Raw genomic sequence first — 25,179 nt, 5'->3', positions numbered from 1 at the left:
TTTCCCTCTCCCACGGTGACACAAAGTACTCTTGTTGAAAACAGCCTGGATCCTGGAGTGAGGAAGCACTCCCAGCCAACTAATGGTGCACCTGTGATCAAAAAGATACATTTGCTACTTTAAAAAGCCTCATTAATGAACAGTATCATAAGCAAAATGAAAGGGTAAGCCTCAGACTGGGAGAAAATATTCGTAAAGGTAAAGCTAATGAAGGATTAATATGAAAACAATTTAAAGAGCTACAAATCAATAAGGAAAACATAAATAACTCAATAAAAATAAAACACAGGCAGAGGGTATGATTGAGTAATTAACTTAGGAGGAAACTTGATAGGATGCTTAACTACCTAAACTCAGGGAAATATATATTAAAGTAACAAGAAGATACAATTTGTATCCGTAAGTTTGGTAAAAATGTAAAAGCCCATTTATAGCAAGTGTTGGAAAGAAATAAGAACTGTCATCATTGCTGGCTCAAATATAAATTGGCATAGACGCTTTGGAGAAGAATTTGTCAATATCTTGGAAAGATGAAGATCTAGGTGTATATGTAATTTCACCTCTATGAATTTGCTGTGGAGAAACTCTAGCACAACAGCAGACAAAGACATTTACAGTCATGACTGTCAATGTCATTGATATCTGGAATAGAAAATGTCAAATATTTACCAGTGGGAGAATTAGAAAAATAAATTTGATATATTTATTTAATGGAAGTTATAATGAATGACTTGGAGTCACATGTGTGAATCCATCTAAAAATCATAATGTTGAGTGAGTAAAGCAAGTTGCAGAATGGCTTCAGAGTATACCTTTTCCATAAAGTTTGAAAACATGTAAAACAATACTACATATTTGTTATGGAATATATTTTTGTTCATCAATTATTCATGCCGCCTCACACTACATCTTTTGGAAGAGTATAGTTTCCCAGTCTATTGATGCCTTGGCCATGAGATTCACTTTGTCCAGTAGAGTATTTGGGTAGAACCGATAATGTAAGAATTCTGAGTCAAGGCCTTAAGAAGCATCATATTTTTGTTTTGTTTCTTTCGGAGTTTCTGACCTCCACAATAAGAAGCACATGTCACTTGAGACTATCCCTTCAGTTTCAGCCTCAGAATGAAAATGCATGAATGATTGCTGCCCCAGCTGACATAGAGACCTGGGAACAAGAGAGTAAATGCTTGTTGTTGTATGGTACTAGGTTTGAAATACATGAAAAACTGAACTATGCAATGTTCATATGCCAGAACATATGTAATGTATGTGTATGTAATACAAACAGGAATAATAAACAGTAAATAATAAAATAATAAACAACACATTCAGGAGAGTGGTTATTTTTGAGGAAGGAAACAAGGAATCCTTATCCTTCTTTATTCTGTTTTATTTTTCTTCATAGCACATTTATTTATTGTTTCTCTCTCCCTCCCACTAAAATGTAAATTCTACAAAACCAAGCAATGAGCCTTATTTGTTGACTGCTCTGGTGCAGGCATCCTACTGGCACACAATAGGCACTCAGTTAACATTTGTTGAAGGAATGAGACTGTTTATTCATCTGTAGTAGGGACAATACTAATGGTCATGAAGGATTATACTGAGGGTGAAACAAGATTATACCTGAGAATATGCATCGTATTGAACCTGGCATCTACGCACTCAATTATGTCAGCCTTTTTTCTTTTTCTTTTTCTATTCTGGATATGTGGTTTCTCTGTTGAACTATCTCAATAATGTACAGAGCACTTTGTAATGTGTAAGGGGTAGACAAGAAACTGTTTCTTAACTGTGCAGTCTCTAACAAGATATTTAACCTCTGTGTTCCTGATCTGTAGCCTGAGGATAATAATACCCATCTCATATGTTGGTTGAGAGTATTAAATACTGTAATGTTATGAAGCACTGAGCATGGGGCCTGATACATAGTAAATGCTCAATAAACATTAGTTATTTATTATTACTACTACAAAATAGACAGTTGCCTATGTGGTATCAGTTCAGGAGTATTTGGCAGGCTGCTTTACTAAAATAATATCTTCCACTCCAGCTTGTCATTTCCATCTCTACTTTTACTATTATGGAGTTATTCTTTTGGTTTATGCCTTGTTCATTCCAGCTACTTCTTACAAGCTTCATTGGGAATATGCTCCCAATAGTTTCTTGTGCTTAATATTATGTGATGTCTTATTTTCCTCTACTCCCGGACAGATGGGCAACATAAGGACTCCAGGGAAAGGTTTGGGAAGAGAAGTGAAGAAACGCATTCCAGAGGCAACCTTGAGCTATTTGTCCCTTTTCCTTAAGGATGGCCCTGTTCAGAATTGCCTGTAGTCATCAGTCTGTGTCTCAGCAGGAGCTAACTCTCTAGCTTCTGCTCCTTATGATATAGGTGAGAGATTAGTAATCTATGAGAACTGCTTTCTCTTAGGGTTCTAAAGTGTTCCATGTTCTGAGGACTATCTCTTGCTGTACTATCTTTTATGTTGCATCATCTCTCCCACTTGTTGGGGACTTGCCAGCCGAAACCATACCCAAACTCACTATCTAGGTGCTATTGTCAAGACTTCTTCTTGGGCCAGGGTATATTATCCTTAGCTCTCCTGATTATAAGGCTGCATTATTTAGCGCATACTGTAATTGATGGCTATGTACTTAGGAATCCTTGAAGTATATTTGAAAATAATTGTGATCGATATGCAAACATGTACAAAACTTTCTGAAAATGCCCATAACTTGTTGGCTTTTTTAAAAACAACCTTCTTAACATATACTTTATACATCATAAAATTTACCTGTTTTAAGCATAAGATCAATTTATTCTCAGTGTATTCATAGAGTTGTGCAAGCATCACCACAATCCAGTTTTAAAACATTTATGATTGGATTCTGAATGTATTCCTTATACCAATAATCAGTAATCTTGTTGGAAATCCTGGAAAATGTCTAAAATTTAACTACATTGTTTTATGGAATAAGTGGCCTCCAACAAAATGATACAAATAAATTTCCATAGTATCAATACAATTTCACCATCAATCTTTTCATACAATTAAAATGCATTTAATGACATATGGAGGGGGAATGTGGGAATTATGTAAAAAACTGACCAAATTGGATATTTCCATGAAGGTTAGTAACTACATTAGGATCAGTAACTGCTAACTGCCACAAAAGAAAACTGAAGTTTCATTCATCTCAACACAACAAAAGTTTATTTCATCAAGTCTAATGCAGGTTGGTGGGGATTCTCTTCCAAGCAGTGACTTGGGGATTAAGGCTCCCTTCTTTCTGTGATACCACCATCTTCATATATAGCATCTAAGACCACAAAGGGCAAAGGGAAAGATGGATGAGGAACACCAGCTCTTAACCTCCTGGACCTGGAAGTGGTACACATCACTCCCATTGGTCAGAACTAGCTACATGGCCCCAGCCCAAAGGCACGTTTGAGGAAGGTAGGTTAATACATCGATCATTTAGTGAGCAATTTCTCAGCTATGTTGGTGTAGGGGCAAAGACGGAGAGCTTTCCCCTTCGTCCTATGAAAGTTCACTGAAAATGAACTGACAATAGGCAAATTAATATGGAAAAAGGCATACAGATTTAGTTAATGTGTGTAGCATGGGGGAATCACAGAATGAGTACACCATAACCCAGTGGGGTACAGAAGCATATATACCCTTCTTCATAGGGGAAGGGGAGATGAGGGTTGTTGGAGTAAATGTTTTTTAGGGGGAATGAATGGACCCAATGTTCAGACAATGGTTAGTAAATAATTATTTTTGGGAATTGAATGGGATTTGAGAACAAACAATAGTTTGGGACAAAGGTAGTCTGGGCTCTATTATAGGTGTGGTGTTTAATTTTCAGTTTCTCTATGACAGGAGTTTTAATCTTCTCTAGTTAATGAAATTTCAGGGAAGAGATTGAAGGCAATTGTGTTATTCTTTGGGGGTCCAGTTTTAAAGTAAATAAGGGAACATCAGAGAACAGCCTCATTCTGTGCTTTGGAAGAGATAGAAGTTTGAGAGAAAGGGAGGCAAGGAAGGTCAGAGGATCTTCGAGTCTGCTTTTTCAGTTTAGCATGTCAAAGTGCCATACTTTTGGGTATTATTTCTTGAGCCCCCAAAGTGGTCAAGCCTGTGATGCTTTATTCTTCTTTTGCTCTTTCCTCAAGCGCTAAGAATGACTGCAATATCTCACAATATTATGATTTTACATTCTTCACTTCTAGAAATTAGATTCACTCTTGGTCATTTAAAATGTGCAGTTCTCATGTATGCCAGCACTTAAAGTAAAATTAAAAAAAAAATAAAATGTGCAGTTTCAGCTAGACTGCAAGTCATCATTCACCAAGAGATGACACAAGTCAACATACTTGCCCTTCAGCCTGCAAAATCCTCATCCAAGATTGTTTGTTCTGCACAATAAAATGTTTATCAATTCAGTGAGATTAATTCTTTATAAAATTAATATATTTGTACCAACAGATATCATATTTTTATGAATCTTTAGATTGTCATCCATCACTTAGCTCACTAAGTAACCAATGATTTTGGTCATTATTTGATTACCCTTATTTAGTGTCTGTGGTAAGTGTAATGAGGGGGCCTCTTTTTTTGTCCTCTAATCTTCTTTTCCTAAATCCTTGCCATAGTCAATAATATCTAACAATAATGTACTCAAGGTCAAGAACCTAGAAATGAAAGCTGCCAAAAAGGCCAGAAGACATGGTTCCAAACCTGGCTCTGCCTTTAATTAACTGTGTGATGTTGGGCAAGCCTCAACCTCTCTGAGTCTCTGCTTCTTTATCAGAAAAAAATTATAAATTTTAATACCTGCTAATGAAAATGAGTGGTCAGTGTGGCCTTCAGAGAACAGCCTTGTAGCCTCTCTTGCTAGCTAACTCTCCTTTCCTGCATTCCAGGGGTATATTAGTCCATTCTCACACTGCTATGAAGAAATACCTGAGACTGGGTTCTGCATAGCTGTGGAGACCTCGGAAAACTTACAATTATGGCAGAAGGCACCTCTTCAGAGGGTGGCAGTAGAGAGAATGAGTGCTGAGTGAAGGGGAAAGCCCCTTATAAAAGCATCAGATCTCTTGAGAGCTCACCTACCATCACGAGAACAGTGTGGGGGGAAACTGCCACTATGATTCACTTATCTCCATCTGGTCCTGCCTTTGGCACATGGGGATTATTACAATTCAAAGTAAGATTTGGGTGGGGACACAGAGCCAAAGCATATTATTCCACTGCTGGACCCTCCCAAATCTCATGACCTCACATTTCAAAACAATCATGTCCTTCCTACAGTCTCCCAAAGTCTTAGCTCATTCCAGCATTAACCCAAAAGTTCAAGTCCAATGTCTTATCTGAGACAAGACAAATCCCTTCCGCCTATGAGCCTGTAAAATCAAAAGCAAGTTAGTTACTTCCTAGATACAAGGGGAGTACAGGCATTGAGTAAATATACCCACTCCAAATGGGAGAAATTGACCAAAACAAAGGGGCTACAGGGCCCATGCAAGTCTGAAATCCAATAGGGTAGTCATTAAACCTTAAAGTTCCAAAATGATCTCCTTCAACTCCATGTCTCACATCCAGGTCATGCTGATACAAAGGTGGGCTCCCATGGCCTTGGGCAGCTCTGCCCCTATGGCTTTGCAGAGTACAGCCCTCTTCCCAGCTGCTTTCACAGGCTAGTGTTGACTGCCTATGGTTTTTCCAGGTGCATGGTGCAAGATGTCAGTAGATCTACCATTCTGGGGTCTGGAGGATGGTTGCCCTCTTCTCACAGCTCCACTAGGCAGTGCCCCAGTGGGGACTCTGTGTGGGGGCTCCAACCTCACATCACCCTTCCACACTGCCCTAGCAGAGGTTCTCCATGAAGGCTCTGTCTATGCAGCAAATTTCTGCCTGGACATCCAGGCGTTTCCATACATCCTCTGAAATCTAGGCAGAGGTTCCCAAACCTTAATTATTGACTTCTATGCACCCATAGGCCTAACACCACATGTAAGCTGCCAAGGCATGGGGCTTGCACCCTCTAAAGCAATGGCCTGAGCTGTACCTTGACTCCTTTTAGCCACAGCACTGGAGGTGAGGGAGCTGGGACACAGGGTGCCGTGTCCCAAGGCTGCATAGAGCACAGGGGCCCTGGGCCTGACGCATGAAACCATTTTTCCATCCTAGGCCTCCAGGCCTGTGATGGGAGGGGCTGCTGTGAAGGTCTCTGACATGCCCTGGAGACATTTTCCCCAATGTGTTGGTGGTTAACGTTCGGCTCCTCATTACTTATGCAAATTTCTGCAGCCAGCTTGAGTTTCTCCCCAGAAAATGGGTTTTTCTTTTCTATCACATTGTCAGGGTGCAAATTTTCCAAACTTTTACGCTCTGCTTCCTCTTAATGCTTTGCTGCTTATAAATTTCTTCTGCCAGACACCCTAGATCACCTCTCTCAAGTTCAAAGTTCGACAGACCTCTAGGGCAGGGTCAAAATGCTGCCAGTCTCTTTGCTAAAGCATAGCAAGAGTCACCTTTATTCCAGTTCCCAACAAGTTCCTCATCTCCATCTGAGACCACCTCAGCCTGAACTTCATTGTCCATATCACTATCAGAATTTTGGTCAAAGCAATTTGATAAGTCTCTAGGAAGTTCCAAAGTTTCCCACATTTTCCTGTCTTCTTCTGAGCCCTCCAAACTCTTCCAACCTCTGCCCATTACACAGTTCCAAAGTTACTTCCACATATTCGGGTATCTTTACAGCAACACCCTACTACCTCGGTACCAATTAACTGTATTAATCCATCCTCATGCTTCTATGAAGAAATACCCCAAACTGGGTAATTTATAAAGAAAAGAGGTTTAATTGACTCACAGTTCTGCATGGCTGGGGAGGCCTCAGGAAATTTACAATCATGGTGGAAGACACCTCTTCAGAAGGCAGCAGGTGAGTGAGTGAGAGCTGAGCAAAGGAGTAAGCCCCTTATAAAACCATCAGATCTTGTGAGAACTCACTCACTATGACGGGAACAGCTTGGGGTGAAACCGCCCCCACGATTAAATTTTCTCCAGCTGGTCCTGCCCTTGACACATGGGAATTATTACAATTCAGGGTGAGATCTGTGTGGGGACACAGAGTCAAATCATATCAAGGGGTTTCTTTTCTGAGAACCCTGTTCCCGAGATTCCAGTCCTTCCTTCAGTTTCTGTGGTGCTTCTCTTCAAATGTGTTTGTGGAGATTCTGACTTAATAGGTCTACAGTGAAGCCTAGGAATCTGTTTTGCAACAAGCTCCGGAGGGATTTTGGATTATTAGCCAGGTATCACTGCCAGATTATCACACTTCACTATTTGGTACAGACTATGTAGAGTTGTCCCTCAGTATCCAGGACCCCTTTGGATACCAAAACATATGGATGTTCAAGTTCATGATATAAAATGACATAGTATTTGCATATAGCCTACTCTTATCCTCCTGTATACTTTATGTATCTCTAGATTATTTATAATATGCAATACAATATAAATACTATGTAAATAGTTGTCATACTGCATCACTTAGGGAAAAACAATAAGAAAAAAATTGTACTTTTCTTTCAATATTTTTGATCCATGGTTGGTTGAATCCATGAATGAAGATCCCATGGATATGGATGGCCAGCTGTACTTCTAACATGAATAGGAATATCTGGTTCAAGGTAAATGCCAATTAAGAAAATTAAATGTACATGATCTCTATTTTGATTTCAGCTTATTGTAGATTAAAATGTAAATTGTGCTCTTACAGTTTTCATTGGTTTGTTAAATTTACTTATACTTTCATATTCCAAGTCAAATGCTGCAATTCTGTTTCAGCCCCCCTGTCCCCAAGAATGCAAAGTTTTTTTTTTTATCTGACCCTTATATATTTCATCTTTCCTTTCTAGGTCAAACATGCTATCATTACTTATACAAAATTCTGATGCAGTAGCATTCCAGGTTCCTAAACCAGACTCTGAACTCTTTGGCAAACAACTTAAGAAAAAAAGCATTTCTCATTGTTATGCAAGCTTTCCTCCTCTCTCTGGCACTACAGTTCCCCACAGATCTCTAAGCTCTTTCACAGTTCTGCTCTCTCAGCCAGCACCAGCCCATCTCCACACCATACTTTTAGGTCTGAGTCAGCGGTCCTATAGAACATTAACTCATTAACAACACAATTGTCCCTTACTTCTGAGCTCTCACCAGACTAGTGTTGTTTCAGTTAGTGAATACGGTGAAGGACTTTTTTTTTTTTTTTTTGAATTGCCATTCTTTTTACAGGGTACTTGAGAAGCTCAAATGAATCCATAAAAATGTACTCTATGATAGATATAAAGCATAACTCAAATATAGAGTGGAGGTATAAATGGGTGCCATCCTCTATAATTTATTCTTCCTCCATTTATTTTAGAAAAAAGCTAGAATCCTCATGCACCTTAAATTTCAAGGACATTTATCATTTGCATTGCTGGCATACTACCATCCAAACATAATCATATTTATCTTCCATCCCTACTGGGTTCTGGAGAACTACGCATATTTCTTTTCTTCTGTAAATCTTCATAGCAATACAGATATTAACCCCTACTCAACCTCATTCCCAGCTGCACCACTAACTCTAACCTATCCTGCTTTCATGTCTTCAGTCACGTGCACTATCTTCTCTGAATTTATATTTTAGACTGTCAGATGGGACCACAGTCAGAAGCTCATTTTGTTTCTAAATGATGGAAAAGTCATGAGCATTGAGATAAATAGAAGTATTAATATTTTCGAAGTCAACAACTCAAAGAGATTTGGGGTCCGAGGTAGCTTATGAAATGTGAGGGGCCACCACACAGTGCCCCACACTATTGAGCACTTTTGTAAAAACCAAGAAACAAAAATGATTTATATTCTTTGGACAGCCATGAAGGAAAATTTGTTCACAAAGTAGTATTCTAACATAGCTGTAAATGCAGTCACTCTTTTGTGGTTTAAGCTCAAGGACTACACTGCTTTCTGAGATGGTGGGATCATTATATTTCCAGAGTGATGACAAGAAAAGAAGAAGTTGGGGGAAATTTTGACTATTGCTGGCTCTTAGATATGTACTCGTCTATGGACTCATAGGTCTGCAAATCTGTGCATGGTGATAAGCGGGGGTAGAGAGCATTTGTGGGTGCACACATATATACAAGTTTCCTTTTATTACTTGTGGTAGGTAGAATTCTAAAAATGTACCCCTAACCCCCAGCCAGGTGCCACTCCCTAATAAGTTGACATATCACTCCTCTGATGACATTACATCATATGACACAGTTGACTTCTGGATAGAAAGATTATCTCAGTAGTCCTAATCAAATCAAGGAGCCCTTAAAAGCAGAAAACTTTTTCCAGCTGGTGTCAGAAAGGAAGGCAGAAGGAGAAGTCAGAGATTCAAAGCATAAGAAGGAATTAAAGTGCTGTTACTGATTTCAATATGGAGGAGACCACATGAGAAAGAATGCGGGTGGTCTCTCAGAGCATAGATTGGCTCCCCTGGCTGACAGCCAGCAAAAAAATGGGTACTTTCAGTCTTGTAACTGCATCAAACTGAATTCTACCACAGCCACATGAGTTTAGAAGAGAGCTCTGGGCCTCTAGATGAGAATGCAGATCAGTTGATAACTTGATTTTAGCCTTGTAAGACCCTGAACAGAGATTCCAGTTACACCATGCTGCACTTTTGAACTGCAGAATGATGAGCTAACAAATGAATGCTATTTTAAGCCACAAAGTTTGTAGTAATTTTTAGGCAGCAATACAAAACTAATATATTATTGAATTAGTCTTTTCCCAGGATTATGGAGCTCCTGAAACCATAGATCATGTTATCTCCATGGGAAAGACCCACTGTCCCTCATGCACAGTCTTGTGTTCGGGAAGTACTCCGCAACTGTTATCTGTTAAAAATACGGTCACTGAACCAGGTGCAATTGCTTAGTGTGCTCATTGACTTAGAGCATAATTGAGCTGATTCTGTGGTTCACAGTTACTATTAAACTGCTTACTGGCTAGAAGGTGAGGGCCACAGAACTAAGGGGTTCAGCTCAGGTTTTCTCTCCACTCTATAAAAGACAGGAAGCATTCTTCAGACACACACAAGACTAATAGTCACATCATGTGGCCTTAAATAAGCCAGACTGGGCTTCCTCTGGGATCAGGGAGATGATATCAGAAATAAAAATAAACCACAAGGCACTTGCTGCCCTCGTTCTTGGGCTGATGAGGAGCCAGATAATGAAGTTACACATTTTAACGTGATCATGAGAATGGAAAAGGGCTCACTCCTCTCTCAGTTTCCACTAGGGACTTTGTCCAGAGAAAAGCTATATTAACAGGTGCTTTGCAAAATGTAGCTTCCTTCCTGTTCTCAGTAGGGAGGGCATCAGTGCCTGCTCTAATGCTTGATCATCCTTCTTTTCCACCTCTGTTCATTCCTTTTCTTCCTTTTTCCTTCCCTTTCCCTGCTTCCTCTTCCTAATTTTATTTTTTGTTATTGAGCTCTTTAGTTGGGAGAGTGAGAGCCCCAGCAGCACAGAAAAAACCTCAGCCTTTTAGAGTGAGATAAATGCCCTTTATTCTTATTTGAGTTTCTCACTGCCTAGAATGTAAGTGTAGAAAATAGAACAGTCTAACAGAAGCAGAGAGCAAGACCTTTTTCATGGTGTTTGAAAAAGACTAGAAAAAGGTGGCAGAAAGGAGGATGAGGTGACTCTGCTCCTATCTCTCAGCAGTCACTCAGTCAACGTTTCTGGAGTGCCATGACATTTACTCTCATTTCATGTCATTAAACAGGGTATGAAGTAGTTTCAGCACAAGTGTAGATTATGCACAGACATTTGCTGTCTGTTCTTGGGAGCCAAGGGAAACACAAGATTTGGTCCCTATCCATAAGGAACTAATAGGGCTGCCAGGCAGCATAGAATCCATATATGAAAAGGACATGTGGAAGACACAGATGGCCCCAGGATAATGCAGAAGAACTAGAGTGATAGGGTATTCTGGCATTGGAGAAGAGTAGAAGGGATGTGATTTAGTGGAAGTGGCAGTGATGGTTATAGAAGAGCAGAGGAAGGTTTTTTTGTGGCAGGGGATGGGGAAGGAGTGCAATGTAGTTTCATGGATGCAGGGTGAAGTTGGAATGAACATTCTTTATGCCTAGTTGTCACAGTACTCATGTTGTTAGGGACCAAATTGTGTCCCTTACAAATTCATATGTTCAAGTCCTAAATTCTAGTATCTCAGAATGTGAGTGTATTTTGAGATAGGGCTTTTAAAGAGGTAGTTAAGGTTAAATGAGTTCATATGGATGGGGCCCTGATCCAATATGACTGATGTCCTTATATTAATAAAAAGAAGAAGAAACACCAGGAATGTGCACACACAGAGATAAGGCCAAGTGAGGACACAGTGAGAAGGTGGCTGTCTGGGGGTCAAGGAGAGAGGCCTCAGGAGAAGCCAAATCAGCCAACTCCTTGATCTTGGACTTCCAGCCTCCAAAACTGTGAGAAAAAAACATTTCTCTTCTTTGAGCCTCTAGTCTATGGCATTATGTTATGGCAGCATGAGCTAATACACATGTGAAGGAAGATTGCTCTCAATGCTGAATGGGGATTGCTCTAAATCACTTATTTTCATGGTCAAAGCTTTAAGTGGCCTAACAGTAATGGGTGTGTCAGCACTTGAGGAGACAGGCAGGTTCTGGCAGGACTCTTAGCTGGGTGACCTTCTGTAGGTCATGTTGCTTATCTGGGCCATTTTTGTCTCTTTGGTAAATTAGGAAATTAATAAGAGTGACTTGCTAATGCATAGATATAAGGTTCAAGGTGGAGATCACAATAACTTTTGTAGGTTTTTCAAAATACTCATGCTCTACTGCTTTGCTCCCTGCCCCTGCTGAGAATCCCTGGTTTTTATTATTTTATTTTATTATGTTAGGAACACTTAACATGAGATCTAGCGTCTTAAAACATTTTAAGCTAAGTGAAAAAAGCCAGACACAGAGCCACAAGTACTGAATGATTTCACGTATATGAGGTATCTAAAATAATGAAATTCATAAAACCAAAGACTGGAATGGTCATTATTAGGTGCTATTGGAATGACGATATGGGAACTTATTAATCAACAGGTATAAAGTTTCAGATAAGTAAAATGAATAAGCTGTAGAGAATCTGGCTTTTGTACTGAAGTTCATTTAAGGTCAGTCAGTCTGCTAGTCTTGCATACCCATGCACCCCTATTTCCTGTTATTGATAAGTTGCCTAGTCCTAAAAAGGACCAGTACCTTCTGCTTTTTGCTTGGCTCAAGAACTTACCCCATCCTATGCTACCACCATTAAGTGCTAGCAGAGTGGCAAATGCCTCTTTTGAGGTGAGAGTTGAGGTGAACCATGAGAGTGGCAAGTTGGGGCTCTCAGAGCTATCAGCTAGCTGAGATTGTTCAACAGGTAAGATGCAGTATAGGAAACACCAATGCCTTCACCTTCTGCTTTGTGTTTACTTTTAGGAAAGATGTCCCTAGCTCTGGAGGAGGTGGTATGAAATCGTGAGGCTTCTCATCCTTAGCTCCCTTTGTTTCCCATTAGCTGAGCATACATGTCTTGGTTGTAGTTTTCCATTCAGACAGTCTGAATGTGAGTGTGTGCATAGGGGCCAGGGACCTAAGTATAAGAATGGAGTTTCCAGCTCATGGGTACAGACTTCCTTGCCTCTTCCCTGCCACAAAGCCCAGTTACATCGCCTGACCTGTTCCCAAACTCCATTACTCAAATGCCCACACCATCTACCTGATGTGGGGAGGGAGGCAGTCCTAGAACCCCCTGAAGCCCATACTAGAAATCCTGAGTGCAGCTGAATAAGTGGCAGAATGATTGATCATCTCTTTCTTCTGCTTTGATCAGCCTCTAACCGAGGCAGGAGATTTATTTCTGTTGTCAATGTTATTTCAGGGCTCAGAAACCAGTTGTCTACCTTGCTCTTCAGCCAATCATAGGCAGGGGTAAAGAGGGGAATGGCAGACAATAAGGTCTGCTGGGGAGAGTGCAAGTTATTTTGAGCTTATCTTATTCTTAGCCAGCAGCCTGGGGCGTTGGTGTCTGCACATGATTCAGTTTTGCCTGGTGGTGGTGGCAGCAGTACTCTTTGCTTCAGGTGCTTGACGTTCAGTATTACAGAAATGAATTATGGGAAAAGCAGTTTCCTGATGCTAACACAGTCTCCCAGTAGACTCCTGAAGGATCAGGAGGAAGATTTCATGTAGACAGCCTGCTATGTGAGCAGATGTAGAAATGCCAGTGCCCACTGGGGAACATGGCCCATAAAAGGAAAACAATCAAACTGGCACCCCAATATGCCTGATCTGATTTTGAGATGAAAGAATATAAGGTCCTGTCATTCTGAGGTTCAGCCCATGAGGCAAGACTAGCAAGGGAAAAGACAAGAGAAGAGTGACTGGTAGAGAGAACTGGGGAAGGGATGCCCTAATCTTTGTTCTCACTCCTCTAAGAGAACAGTGATGGAGCGCCAACACCTATACCTTCTCAGTGTGTGAAACACTAGGTGATGAGTTATTCTGGTTCCTAGAAATGACTTTCCCATTATCTCTACACTACCAAGTTCTTGATGTGTAAAATTCTTCAACAACTCCAGCCCCCAGGTCTTTCTGTTTTTTAGCTGCCTATAAGAATATTAGTGCATTGCTGGCCACATAGTAAATGTTCAATAAATGTTGAATGAATTAATGAATGGTCTGTATTAGTAATTTTTATACTTAAAAACTCAGCAGAACCTTTTCTTTCAAATATAATCTTAATCTGAAACTCAATACACAGAATGAATCAAAGTTGAACACTCGTGGAGTGTGATCAAATCCTGCATCACTGCATTTATTTCTTCTTGTGTCTCTAGTGCTGCAGCCAGCCTTTGACAATTCTCAACCTGACTATGATTCAGATACCCACATATAGACTCCAGTTTTAGGTATCCTGTAGAGGGTATGGTATTAGGAAAAGGAGATAGGAGTGGTCACACGTAAAGGGGTCAAAAGGCCTAGACAAAGAAAACTCAAAGAGGAGAACACATCAAGAGAGGCAGACGTGACAAGCTATGAACTTTCACTGGAAGTTAGAAATGTGACAGCTATCATTATGAGTGAATATGACTCTTTATAAAAGGCACAAGAAAGAATAAAGAAACAAGGCGTGGGAGGCTAGGGTGGGGCCAAATGTGACTGTGAGGGCCAATGGGAAGTATTTAGTGAGACACAATCATTCATTTCACATATTCAATAAATTTTTAATAAGTGCATTGTTATGGGCACTAGAGAAACACCAGTGAGTAGAAATACCTACACTCACGAAGCTTACATTCTAGTGTGGGGTAGGAGACAGGCAAGAAACAAACTAAACAAATAGACTCTTTTCCTGAATGATTTCATCCAGCTTTATGGTTTTATTTATCTTCTATATTATTTTTTTTAAATTTTCTGCTTGCAGCATTTATTTATAATTTTAATTTTTAATTTTTTTATTATTATACTTTAAGTTTTAGGGTACATGTGCACAACGTGCAGGTTTGTTACTTATGTAAACACGTGCCATGTTGGTGTGCTGCACCCATTAACTTGTCATTTAGCATTAGGTATATATCCTAATGCAATCCCTCCCCCCTCCCCCCACCCCACAACAGTCCCTGGTGTGTGATGTTCCCCTTTGTGTGTCCATGTGTTCTCATTGTTCAATTCCCACCTATGAGTGAGAACATGTGGTGTTTGGTTTTTTGTCCTTGTGATAGTTTGCTTAGAATCATGGTTTCCAGCTTCATCCATGTGCCTACAAAGGACATGAACTCATCATTTTTTATGGCTGCCTAGTATTCCATGGTGTATATGTGCCACATTTTCTTAATCCAGTCTATCATTGTTGGACATTTGGGTTGGTTCCAAGTCTTTGCTATTGTGAATAGTGCCGCAATAAACATACGTGTGCATGTGTCTTTATAGCAGCATGATTTATAATCCTTTGGGTATATACCCAGTAATGGGATGGCTGGGTCAAATGGTATTTCTAGTTCTAGATCCCTGAGGAATCACCACACTGACTTCCACAATGGTTGAACTAGTTTACAGTCCCACCAACAGTGTAAAAGTATTCCTATTTCTCCACATCCTCTCCAGCACCTGTTGTTTCCTGACTTTCTAATGATTGCCATTCTAACTGGTGTGAGATTGTATCTCATTGTGGTTTTGATTTGCATTTCTCTGATGGTCAGTGATGGTGAGCATTTCTTCGTGTGTTTTTTGGCTGCATAAATGTCTTCTTTTGAGAAGTGTCTGTTCATATCCTTTGCCCACTTTTTGATGGGGTTGTTTGTTTTTTTCATGTAAATTTGTTTGAGTTAAATGTAGATTCTGGATATTAGCCCTTTGTCAGATGAGCAGGTTGCAAAAGTTTTCTCCCATTCTGTAGGTTGCCTGTTCACTCTGATGGTGGTTTCTTTTGCTGTGCAGAAGCTCTTTAGTTTAATTAGATCCCATTTGTGAATTTTGGCTTTCGTTTCCATTGCTTTTGGTGTTTTAGACATGAAGTCCTTGCCCATGCCTATGTCCTGAATGGTATTGCCTAGGTTTTCTTCTAGGGTTTTTATGGTTTTAGGTCTAACATTTAAGTCTTTAATCCATCTTGAATTAATTTTTGTATAAGGTGCAAGGAAGGGATCCAGTTTCAGCTTTCTACATATGGCTAGCCAGTTTTCCCAGCACCATTTATTAAATAGGGAATCCTTTCCCCATTGCTTGGTTTTGTCAGGTTTGTCAAAGATCAGATAGTTGTAGATATGTGGCACTATTTCTGAAGGCTCTGTTCTGTTCCATTGGTCTATATCTCTGTTTTGGTACCAGTACCATGCTGTTTGGTTACTGTAGCCTTGTAGTATAGTTTGAAGTCAGGTAGTGTGATGCCTCCAGCTTTGTTCTTTTGGCTTAGGATTGACTTGGCAATGCGGGCTCTTTTTTGGTTCCATATGAACTTTAAAGTAGTTTTTTCCAATTCTGTGAAGAAAGTCATTGGTAGCTTGATGGGGATGGCATTAAATCTACAAATTACCTTGGGCAGTATGGCCATTTTCACAATATTGATTCTTCCTACCCATGAGCATGGAATATTCTTCCATTTGTTTGTGTCCTCTTTTATTTCATTGAGCAGTGGTTTGTAATTCTCCTTGAAGAGGTCCTTCACATCCCTTGTAAGTTGGATTCCTAGGTATTGTATTCTGTTTGAAGCAATTGTGAATGGGAGTTCGCTCATGATTTGTCTCTCTGTTTGTCTGTTATTGGTGTATAAGAATGCTTGTGATTTTTGCAAATTGATTTTATATCCTGAGACTTTGCTGAAGTTGCTTATCAGCTTAAGGAGATTTTGGGCTGAGATGATGGGGTTTTCTAGATATACAAGCATGTCATCTGCAAACAGGGACAATTTGACTCCCTCTTTTCCTAATTGAATGCCCTTTATTTCCTTCTCCTGCCTGATTGTCCTGGCCAGAACATCCAACACTATGTTAAATAGGAGTGGTGAGAGAGGCATCCCTGTCTTGTGCCAGTTTTCAAAGGGAATGCTTCCAGTTTTTGTCCATTCAGTATGGTATTGGCTGTGGGTTTGTCATAGATAGCTCTTATTATTTTGAGATACGTCCCATCAATGCCTAATTTATTGAGAGTTTTTAACATGAAGCGTTGTTGAAATTTGTCAAAAGCCTTTTCTGCATCTATTGAGATAATCATATGGTTTTTGTCTTTGGTTCTGTTTATATGCTGTATTACGTTTATTGATTGCATATGTTGAACCAGCCTTGCATTCCAGGGATGAAGCCCATTTGATCATGGTGGGTAAGCCTTTTGATGTGCTGCTGGATTCAGTTTGCCAGTATTTTATTGAGGATTTTTGCATCAATGTTCATCAGGGATATTGGTCTAAAATTCTCTTTTTTTGTTGTGTCTCTGCCCGGCTTTGGTATCAGGATGATGCTGGCCTCATAAAATGAGTTAGGGAGGATTCCCTCTTTTTCTATTGATTGGAATAGTTTCAGAAGGAATGGTACTAGCTCCTACTTGTACCTCTGGTAGAATTCGGCTGTGAATCCGTCTGGTCCTGGACTCTTTTTGGTTGGTAAGCTATTAATTATTGCCTCAATTTCAGAGCCTGTTATGGGTCTATTCAGAGATTCAACTTCTTCCTGGTTTAGTCTTGGGAGGGTGTATGTGTTGAGGAATTTATCTATTTCTTCTAGATTTTCTAGTTTATTTGCATAGAGGTGTTTATTAGTCTTGCTAGCAGTCTATCAATTTTGTTGATCTTTTCAGAAAACCAGCTCCTGGATTCATTAATTTTTTGAAGAGATTTTTTGTCTCTATTTCCTTCAGTTCTGCTCTGATCCTAGTTATTTCTTGCCTTCTGCTAGCTTTTGAATGTGTTTGCTCTTGCTTCTCTAGTTCTTTTAATTGCGATGTTAGGGTATCAATTTTAGATCTTTCCTGCTTTCTCTTGTGGGCATTTAGTGCTATTAATTTCCCTCTACACACTGCTTGAATGTGTCCCAGAGATTCTGGTATGTTTTGTCTTTGTTCTCGTTGGTTTCAAAGAACATCTTTATTTCTGCCTTCATTTCGTTATGTACCCAGTAGTCATTCAGGAGCAGATTGTTCAGTTTCCATGTAGTTGAGCAGTTTTGAGTGGGTTTCTTAATCCTGAGGTCTAGTTAGATTGCACTGTGGTCTGAGAGACAGTTTATTACAATTTCTGTTCTTTTGCATTTGCTGAGGAGAGCTTTACTTCCAACTATGTGGTCAATTTTCGAATAGGTGTGGTGTGGTGCTGAAAAGAATGTATATTCTGTTGATTTGGGGTGGAGAGTTCTGCAGATATATATTAGGTCCGCTTGGTGCAGAGCTGAGTTCAATTCCTGGATATCCTTGTTAACTTTCTGTCTCATTGATCTGTCTAATGTTGTTTGAACGAGGCAAGTCCTTCTCCTCCTCCTTCTTTTTGCCATTTATTTTTCCCTCTGCCTGCAGTGTTCTTTCTCTTGCTGTTCATATAACTTGTTCCTTCCTCTTTCCACTATAACCACCTCAGAGACACCTTTCCTGACTCTCTAAAGTATACCCAACTCCATTTTTCTCTGACATAGAACCCTATTTGTTTCTTTCATAATTCTCATCACAGCTTGAAATTATTTCAGCTGTTCACGTGCATATGTGCATATGTGTGTGTGTATGTGTGTTGGTTTATTTGTGTTTCTGTCTCTCCCATTATGCTGTAAGTTTTGTGACTATAGGGGCAGTGTCCATCTAATTTTCCACTGTATTTTTAGTGCCTGGCATATTAGTTACTTAATAAAAATGTTTTGAATAAACAAATGGGTGGGAAAGGATTATGGAACGAGAATATAGGCATCACAAAGGTCTGAAGAGACAATGAAGTTTCTGGGCCCCATACCATCAATCACATCAATGACTGGTAGGTTGGGCACAAGCTTCCAGGATATAGTCAGGGCCAGAGATTTTTGTAGCTAGGGAACATAGTATGGAGGCTAGAGCATTAATTGCATTTGCATTAGGTTAATGGAAAAAGACTGGAAGAAGAAATGTAAGTCCAGAGTGAAGCTAGCCTTAATAACTAATGGACACAGAGCTTTCCATGTTCAGAGGTGGAACACTACCTAAAGAGAAGAAATAAATGTTTTGATAACAGGCAGACCTGAGTTTGAATACCGGCTGAGCCACTGACAAGCTAGGTGACTTTCAGCAATTTAATTAATCTACCCAAGCATCAGATTTCTCATCAGCAAAACAGATACGATAAGGTTGCCTACTGCATAGGGTTATTGTAACAACAAAGTGAATTAAATATGTGTAGCACTTTGAATAGAACCTAGCACATAATGTGCACAGGTAATGAACGAAAGGAAGAAGGAGAGGGAGAAACAGAAGAAATGAGCTCTCCTGTGGGTTGAAGATTGTCCCAGTCCTTGGGGAGAAATCCACATGGAAAGAGAATAAATTTGCAAGATACGCTTATGTCTGTGCCTATTAATTTATAACAAACTTGCATCTTTTTGCTTACAGAAAAAAAGGATATAGAGTCCTAGGATTCTCTTTCCCTGTATTGTTACCTTGGCCTTCTTTCTCAGTTAGGTGACTGTGCTGACCTGGATGTGATTGCATGGGTTACATTCCCAAAGGTATGGCCACAGTTACATAAACACACTAAAAACCAGTCAATTCATCAGGAGAAAATAGAGTCGCTCAAGCTAATTATATGTCCCAGGGCCCAGACCACGAGCCAGCAGTGGCTACCTAGCCCAGCAATTTCATGCCATCCATATCCATATGGGTTACTTTAGACCAATAAGAAATTTCCTCATATTGTAGTTTGAAGTGGATCTCTTGGTGTAGCATGGAGTTGCAGATGGCTCAGGAGCCAGGAAAGGCTTTCTTCAAAGAATACCATAAATGCAGTACAATCAAAAGTCACTTTGCTCCTAAATGAGGGCATAAATTCTGAGAAATGATCCTACCAGTAGTCATTCTGGATGTACAAAATAGAAGCAGCAGTGAGTTATCAATCCTAAAATTAGGGAGAAATATTTTCTATGAATATTTATAGTTCGTTATTGACTTTTGAAGCTCATTATACAAGTACTAAAATATGGAATTTTATGATTACTTTGTATAATTACGTATAGACAGGGAGAGCCAAGCTCCCTTTGAAGTTAGTGAGAGATATGCATGAAGAATGAGAGATAAAATTTGTTTCTATTTTTCAATTTTGTGCAAAGTAGAATTCAATATTTCAAAATGACAAAAGACTCATCTTGTTTTCAAATAGACTATAAAGCACAATAACACAATTTATTTACATACTTGCCTTCTTCTGAAGCTCAAAGCATTTTGCAGGTGTTCTTTTAGTTATTTTCATAATGGAAAGGGTAAATGGTTTTAATCTCTACTTTTTTCCAGATATGAAAACTGAGGCACAGAGCGGCCAAATCATTTACTAACAATCTCAGTAGATTGTTTTTACATTTTTCCCTTTAAAATGAGATGAATAATAATTTCTGCCCTATCTCACAGTGTTGCTGTAAGGATATGTATAGAACACCTCTTGTGTGATTTAAAACAGTCTAGACCTTGCCTTCTACTCCAACCAATACCGTATTAATTATTTCGTTGCAGACTTCCACCCACTTTACTGTGTGCAACCTGACAGTGCTTCACCTCGAACCCACTGCTGCTATGTCTTGCTCCCTACCCTGTGGTTTTGAGGACACCTTGACATTGGATGTCCTTGGGACCTTCCTTGAGCAATGTTTTCTCCTGGACTGATAGTCCCGAGATATACTCCTTCATACTCCTTCAGGTTTCTCAGAAGGTCCCAGCCATCCACAGACATATCCAACTCAAGAATTCCTACCTGCATTTTCATTCCCTCCTTCCCTGTTTCACTTCCCTAGCCCTCTTGTCTGTTTTCTGGAATAACTTCCCAAATATATTACCTGCAAGCAAGCCTTTTCCTCAGGCTCTGCTTTCCGGATAAGTAAGCCCAAGACAGAGTGACATGAAATAACATAAGTGAGATAATTTGAAAACCCAAAAATGCTATGCAATACAAGCTATTAATCTGATTTATGTAATGTTAGTAGCCTTCATACCAATTATAACCATAATAATTAATGCTCCTAATGAAGATATTAAAGGATTGAAGCAAAAATTGGCAGGTTTTTTTTTTTCTGAAACTCTGGATCCTCTACAAATTAGAAGTATTCGTTTCCCTGGAGGAACACTAGATTTCTCAAGGGGTATTCAGGCAAAGGGAGAATTAAAAGAATCAGTTTCCAGTGTTATCTCAACTTCCATATCATTCAATTCTTAATACTGATCTGCCAGAGTCCATGCTTGAAGTCAAGTTGTCTTACCATGGTTCCCCTTTCCTTCTTCTCCGTTCATAGTTGCCCTTCTCCCACTACACAAAAGAAAAGCAGAACATTTATCTTGAATCTTGCTATGATGTATTCCATCATCCAACTATGTTTAAAAATAATAGCAACACTGCTGAGAAAGAGTCCTGTGAGAGAAAAGCAAAGGGAGCACTGATAAAAAAAAAAATAACTTTTGTGGACCCATCAGTTACTAATGACCCTATAGCTTCTCTATATGTTAACATGCAGAGATTTCCATAGAGAGATTTAAAATGACCTTATAAAAGTAGAACATTTACTTATGCACAAGTGTAGGACAAAATGATTCTAAAATGCTATGAAGAATGTGATGCCCAGAACTTCAGAAAACCAGTTTCACTTAATTAGAAGAAAACCCTTGCTTTTCAGCTAATATGCTGCCCTAATTATGTCAAATGAATAATTATAAGCAATAATTTTTAACAATAAAACTAAATTACTAATCTATATATAATAACTCTCAAGTGTCTCTCCCTCTGTCTACCACATATTTTAGAAGTGCTTGTAGAAGATTTTGATCAGAAAACTGAAATATGGTCTGTAAAATATATGGCTGCGTGTATGTGTCTGTTTTGTTTGTTTGTAGTCCATGAGACAAATCCTAAAATAAATAATTTCTAATTTTTTGTTTGTTTTAACTCCTTATTTTAAAATAATTTTAGACTTTCTCTTTGTAATTAATACATATTGTATTATTCAGTGTTTTCCAGAGAAACAGAGCTAATAGGTTATATATAGGTATACAGAAAGATGTTTTTATGAAGGATTGGCTTATGTGATTATGGAGTCTGAGAAATCCCATGATCTGCTGTTTGAGAGCTGGAGGCCCAGGAAAGCCAGTGTTTAGTTCCAGTTCAAATCCGGAGGCCTGAGAACCAGTGGAACCAATGGTATAAGTCTCATTCTGAGTTAAAAGTCCCAAGAATGAGGAGCATCGATGTCTGCAGGCAGGAGAAGATGGATGTTCCACCTCAAGCAGAGACAGCAAATTCACTTTTCCTCCACCTTTTTATTCTATTCAGGCCCTAAACAGATCAAATGATCCTCATGTACATTGTTTTCGTTTTGTTTAGTTTTGCATGTCTTAAATATCTTCGCTTCTATTTATTTATGTTTTGGTTGACAATTTGTGTATTTTTTATTTTTTTAAAGTTTTATTTTAAGTTCTGGGATACATGTGCAATGTGCAGCGTGTGCAGGTTTGTAACATAGGTAAACGTGTGCCATAGTGGTTTGCTGCACCTATCAACCTATCACCTAGGTATTAAGCCCAGCATGTGTTAGCTATTTGTCTTCATGTTCTCCCTTCCCACACACAGCCCCCCAGTAGGTGTTCAGCTCTCACATATAAGTGAGAAAATGTGGTGGTTGGTTTTTTGTTCCTGTGTTAGTTTGCTGAGGATAATGGCTTCCAGCTCCATTCATGTCCCTGCAAAGGACATGATCTCATTCCTTTTTACGGCTGCATAGTATTCCATGGTGTACATGTACCACATTTTCTTAATCCAGTCTATCATTGATGGGCATGTGGGTTGATTCCATGTCTTTGCTATTGTGAATAGTGCTGCAATGATCATATGCGTGCATGAATCTTTATAATAGAATGATTTATACTCATGCACTTTGTTGATCATGATCTTTTTTAGTCAGTCTACTGAGTAGACAGAGAATATGCTAATGCAAATGCTAATCTCTTCTGGAAACACCCTCACAGACACACCCAGAAATAATGTTCACCAGCTATCTGAGCATCCTTGATCCCAGTTAAGTTGACACATAAAATTAACCATCACATGTATCTTGGAGTAGATACTTTGAAGCTATGCAAATATCCTGTTTCTCCTTAAACTTTTGCCCATTGATTTTAGCATCCATTGGTGGATCTTCTCTGCAACAATAATTACCGTGGTGTTCTAATGGTGATTTTCTCTTTCCCTCAATCTTTGTACATTTATTAATTGGAATTCTTCTGTAAAGAAGAGTTGTTCCTTCACAATTTTGTGTTTGATTTTTTTTATTCTACATGTTATGATCCTATACTGTTTTTATTTATTCTGTTGCTCAAATTGTTCTCATTTTGATCATAGGGATCTCTAATAATAGAGAGAGAAATGTCCTTAAAAGTCAAATGGTTTAAATTATTTGCTTCCGATAAAATTGAGCTAGTTGCATTATCAGTGACTGATCATTAAAAAGTGTGTTGATGGTAGAACACTGTGTAACGTTTCACATGTAACACAGAAGACATTCAAAGAAACTTCCATTCTTATAAACTTATTTATATAAACAAAATTTCTCAATACTTTTCTATAAAAAGTAAAAATTAATGACCAGTGATGATGAGCTTTTTTTCATAAAAGAAAGCAATTGAATTGATACTGAGACTTACCTAAATCTAGCAATTTTCAATAACATTTTGCTTATTTTCCCATAGGTTATTGGGGTACAGGTAGTGTTTGGTTACATGAGTAAGTTCCTTAGTGATGATTTGTGAGATTTTCGTTCACCCATCACCTAAGAAGTATACACTGCACCCAGTTTGCAGTCTTTTATCCCCCATCCCCCTCCCATTCTTCCCCCGCAAGTCCCCAAAGTCCATTGTATCATTCTTATGCCTTTGCACCCTCATAGCTTAGCTCCCACGTATCAGTGAGAACATACAATGTTTGGTATCCCATTCCTGAGTTACTTCACTTAGGATAATAGACTCCAATCTCATCCAGGTCGATATGAATGCCATTAATTGATTCCTTTTTATGGCTGAGTAGTATTCCCTATATATCACAATTTATTTATCCACTTGTTGATTGATGGGCATTTGGGTTGGTTCCATGATTTTGCAATTGCGAATTGTGCTGCTATAAACATGCGTGTGCAAGTATCTTTTTTGAATAATGAATCCTTTTCCTCTGGATAGATACCCAGTAGTGGGATTGCTGGATCAAATGGTAGTTCTACTGTTAGTTCTTTAAGAAATGTCCACACTGTTTTCCATAGTGGCTGTGCTAGTTTACATTCCCGCCAGCAGTGTAAAAGTGTTCCCTTATCACTGCATCCACGTCAACATCTACTGTTTTTAGATTTCTCGATTATGGCTATTTTTGCAGGAATAAGGTGGTATTCCACTGTGGTTTTGACTTGCATTTCCCTGATCATTAGTGATGCTGAGCACTTTTTCATATGTTTGTTGGCCATTCGTATAACTTCTTTTGAGAATTGTCTATTCATGTCCTCAGCCCACTTTTTGACGGGATTGTTTTTTTCTTAACGATTTGCTTGAGCTCATTGTAGATTTTGGATATTAGTCCTTTGTCAGATGTATAGATTGTGAAGATTTTCTCCCACTCTATGGGTTGTCTGTTTATTCTGCTGACTGTTCCTTTTGCTATGCAAAAGCTCTTCAGTTTAATTAAGTCCCAGCTATTTAGCTTTGTTTTTATTGAATTTACTTTTGGGTTCTTGGTCATGAAATCTTCACCTAAGCCAATGTCTAGAAGGGTTTTTCCAATGTTTTCTTCTAGAATTTTTATAGTTTCAGGTCTTAGATTTAAGTCCTTAATCCATCTTGAGTTGATTTTTGTGTAACGTGAGAGATGAGGATCCAGTTTCCTTCTCCTACATATGGCTAGCCAATTATCCCAGCATCATTTGTTGAAAAGGGTGTCCTTTCCCTACTTTATATTTTGGTTTGCTTTGTCGAATATCATTTGGCTGTAAGTATTTGGGTTTATTTCTGGGTTCTTTATTCTGTTCCGTGGATCTATGTGCCTATTTTTATACCAGTTCCATGCTGTTTTGGTGACTATGGCCTTACAGTATACTTTGAAATCTGGTAGTGTGATGCCTCCAGATTTGTTCTTTGTGCTTAGTCTTGTTTCAGCTAAGTGGGCTCTTTTTTGGTTCCATATGAATTATAAAATTGCTTTTTCTAGCTCTGCAAAGAATGATGCTGGTATTTTGATGGCAACTGCATTGAATTTGTAGAGCACTTTTGGCAGTATGGTCATTTTCACAATATTGATTCTACCTGTCCATGAGCATGAAATGTGTTTCCATTTGTTTGTGTCTCCTATGATTTCTTTCAGCTGTGTTTTGTAGTTTTCCT

The 25,179-nt window shown here is 38.9% G+C and overlaps 1 annotated feature.

Annotated features, from left to right (window-relative positions):
• Nucleotides 7,765-8,430: an enhancer, noted in NCBI's record as "OCT4-NANOG hESC enhancer chrX:111857764-111858429 (GRCh37/hg19 assembly coordinates)". NCBI's record gives its function as "activates a minimal SCP1, AML or CMV promoter by ChIP-STARR-seq in naive H9 embryonic stem cells {active_cell/tissue: H9 hESC(naive)}" and the evidence as "EXISTENCE:reporter gene assay evidence [ECO:0000049][PMID:30033119]".

This window comes from Homo sapiens, chromosome X (assembly GCF_000001405.40).
Source record: "Homo sapiens chromosome X, GRCh38.p14 Primary Assembly".
In the NCBI taxonomy this organism is placed as follows: Eukaryota; Metazoa; Chordata; class Mammalia; order Primates; family Hominidae; genus Homo; species Homo sapiens.
The sequence above is the reverse complement of the archived record's forward strand: the minus strand, read 5'-3'. Positions and strand labels throughout refer to the sequence as shown.